General features: G+C 49.4%; 1 long non-coding RNA gene across 2 annotated transcripts; it reads right to left on the bottom strand.

Annotated features, from left to right (window-relative positions):
* Nucleotides 1-1005: 1005 nt before the first annotated feature.
* On the bottom strand, nt 1006-2872 carry LOC107984641 (uncharacterized). Of its 2 annotated transcripts, none has more exons than XR_001750929.2 (2): nt 1834-2872; nt 1006-1436 (listed from the first exon to the last, which is right to left on the bottom strand). It is a non-coding gene; the product is annotated as an uncharacterized LOC107984641 (long non-coding RNA). The 2 variants fall into 2 exon arrangements; XR_001750930.2 differs by having other exon boundaries at nt 2312-2872.
* Between the last annotated feature and the right edge of the window lie 627 nt (nt 2873-3499).

Raw genomic sequence — 3499 nt, 5'->3', positions numbered from 1 at the left:
CCTGCGATATGACAGCACCACAGACATACACGCACCATGCACACACAGACCACACACACCTCATACACACTATGTACCCACAGACTGCAGACACCACACACACACACAGACCACACACACCTCACACCTCACACACTATATACCCACAGACCACACACCCCCACCACCACACACGTACATACACATCACACACATGCACCTTACACCCCCCCATCCCCTACACACACACTTTCTGGAAAGCCTGGAGCAGGTTCCCGAGTCCTGCTGCTGCCGAGCCCACATGGTGGTGGTGCATCCAACACAGACCCAGAGCACAGCAGGCTCCTTTAGTGCGAGTTCCCCATCTCCCATCTACTGCCTTCACTATGAGCAGCTCTCACGCTTCAGAACTTACTCCAGTCTCCACTTCCCTAGAGTCTTGGTTCCTGTAGAGTCACAGCAGCAAATAGGCCCTCGCCCCAGCCCAGCCCTCCCCACCCCCGAACAGCGCTTCTGGTCTATCAGTGGGTCCGCGGAGCTCAGCATGTTCCATGCTGCTTCCCGTGCAAAACTGGCTCTCCACCCCAACTGCCCTGTCCGACAGCAGCGCCTTTGATTTTGTTATTCTGGTCAGCACCTAGAAAGTCATATTTAGCATCTATCTCCTTCACCCCTATATCTGTCCACACAGCTTGTCAATTCTCTCCAAACACTTCCTGAAGCCAACCTTCTTTTCCATTTCCACAATTAGAGATTATAGCACTTCACCCGGAAATCCTTCTCTAACCCCAGAAGAAATCAGGTCCCCATTTATACTCGAATAGCCCCTGCACTTTTATAGAATTGGCCATGGCTTTTAACAACATATTTTTGATATTATTTAATTAATGTCCCTCTCTCCCATTGCACTATAAACTCCCCTGTGGGAGTTTACATTCTGGTCCTTTACAATAGTATTTGTAAATACATAGTTAAAAATACTATCAGGCCATTCCCAATAAATGCCATTGGGTGAATGAATAGAGCTATTTTTTCCCTCTGTTTATTTTGCCCTCGCCCCCAGCTATAATGTAAGTTTCCCAAAGGATGGCGCTGTGTGTTGCTACTGCTTGCATCTGTGTCCCCAGCCCCTGTGCTTAGCACAAAACCAGGAGCACACTAGGTGCTCAGGAAATAAGGACTTATTGATTGCTGTGCCCTTGTCAATCATTCAGATGTTGAGTTTGTTTGGGGAAAGGCAAGTCCTCACTCCCAAGTGACCAGGCAGGCATCAGCCAGGCCCTACCAGCCCCAGCTACCCGACAATCAGGAACGTCAGCGTTTCCTCAGTGGCCCACCAGGCTGGCTCCTTCCTCTGCCTCCTGATAGGGCAGTAATTAGAAACAGCAGTCATCACCATGTCACATTCCCTGGAGCACCCTGCTGCAAGCACGGAACACATGTAGCTGTGAGACCACCTGCCAGGAAGAGAATAGAAGAGTCATTTGCTGAACATGCAGGGGTGAGGGCTAAGGGGACGAGCTGCTGCATAGCAAATAGCTGCCCCCTCTTCCCCAAAGCCCTAAATAATTTCTCCACTTAAAAAAAAAAGGAAAAAATACACAATTAATTTTTCATGTAGATCATCCCACTTGGAAGCTTAGGAAGGGCTGTGCATACTAACAGCCTGAAATGCCACACAGTTGGCCTGGCTTAGATAAAACCAAGGAGGGAATGAGTGGAGAAAAAGCCCAGTGGCCCTGGCCTGTGGCCCTCACTGAGGGCACCGACAGAGTGGAGGGTCTCTGCTGATTCTCTCTTGTCCTTAAGGGCCTGCTTCAGGCCATGTGGGGTCACCTTCACTGCCACGTTTACCATAATGACACTGGGAGGTAGGATTCATTGTCTTCATTTTATAGACGAGGAAACTGAGGCAAGGGGAAGTTAGGCTCCTCGGCCAAGGTCACCCAGCCAATGGGAGGCAAAATCAGGATTCCATGTCCAGCACTCAGCCCCTCTGCACTCCCGTGCACAGCGCTGTTTCCCAGCAGGCATTCAGGCAGACGCTGGGTGACCATCTGTCTGCGACAGAGGCAGGCTCTTCCTTTCTGGGAGGGAGGATGGGCTCCAGCAGAGTTGCCCAATCCAGATTTTCCTGCGCACGTGTTAAATGTTTATCTCCCTGCCTTCGCCCCAGAGTGAGGAAGGGAGGAGGAGAGGTGCAGAGGGGAAGAGGGGAAGAGGGCTCCACGTTCCTCGCGGCTCCTCAGTCCTCCAGCACTGCCACAGCAAGGGGGCTCAAAACATCAACACTGGCCAGATTCCCCGGGCCTGCATCCTCTCTGTCGCCCACCTGGCTGTGTGACCGTGGGCACATGGCTTAACAGCTCTACATTGTTGCCTAGGGCTGCCGTCCCAAAGTACCAGAGACCAGGTGGCTGGAAACAAAAGAAAAGTAATCTTTCACAGTTCTGGAGGCCAGAAGCCCAACATGAGACTGGCGTTGGTGTTGTTTCCTTCTGAGGGCTCTGAGAGAAGCTGCCCCAGGCTCTCCCCTGGTTTCTGGAGGCTGCCAGCCATCTTTGGTGTCCTTGACTTGTAGCTGCCTCACCCAGCCTCGACCTCTGTCCACATGGCATTCTCCGTGTCTCTCTCTCTCCTGTTCTCATGAGGACATCAATCACAATAGGTTATGAACCCAACTCTACTATGACGTCATTTCCACTAATTATGTCTGCAATACCCCTTTATCCAGATAAGGTCACATTCTGAGGTACTGGGGGGTTAGGACATCAACGTATCTTTTCCAGGGGACACAATTCAACCCATATCTATCTCTGTGCCTCTCTTTGGCGTAAAGGAAGAGAATAATAGTACATACAGTCACACATTGCTTAAAAACGGGCTTCCGATCTGAGCAATGTGTCATTAGGTGATTTTGTTGTTGTGCAAACATCACTGAGTGTACTTACACAAACCGAGATGGCATAGCCTACTACACACCTAGGCTATACGGTGTAGCCTATTGCTCCTAGGCTAGAAACCTACACAGCATGTTACTGTCCTGAATCCTGTAGGCAATTGTAACACAATAGTATTTGTGTATCTAAACATAGCTAAAGACAGAAAGGGTGCAGTAAAAATGTGGTATTATAATCTTACAGGACCACTGTCATATATGCAGTTTGTCATTGACTGAAACGTTGCTGTGTAGCACGTGGCTGTACTTCATAGGGTGTTTGTGAGGATTGAATAATTTAGTACATGGAGTGGGCTTAGAACAGTGCCTGGTGTAGAGTAAGAACCCGATAAAGTTGTGGGTGATTAATAATGCTGTCATTATAATTGTCTGCAGAAGAGAGGGAATTGTCCCTTTTTTTTTTTTAAACACTCACTGAAGAGACTCTATTTTCTTATAGAAACAAATGACTAGGCCCGATGTAGTGGCTCACACCTGTAATCTGAGCACTTCTGGAGGCCAAGGCAGGTGGATTACCCAAGGCCAGGAGACCAGTCTGGGCAACAGGGAGAAACCCTGTCT

Source organism: Homo sapiens, chromosome 14 (assembly GCF_000001405.40).
Source record: "Homo sapiens chromosome 14, GRCh38.p14 Primary Assembly".
NCBI classification, from domain to species: domain Eukaryota; kingdom Metazoa; phylum Chordata; class Mammalia; order Primates; family Hominidae; genus Homo; species Homo sapiens.
This window is presented reverse-complemented; position numbering and strand designations above follow the sequence as displayed.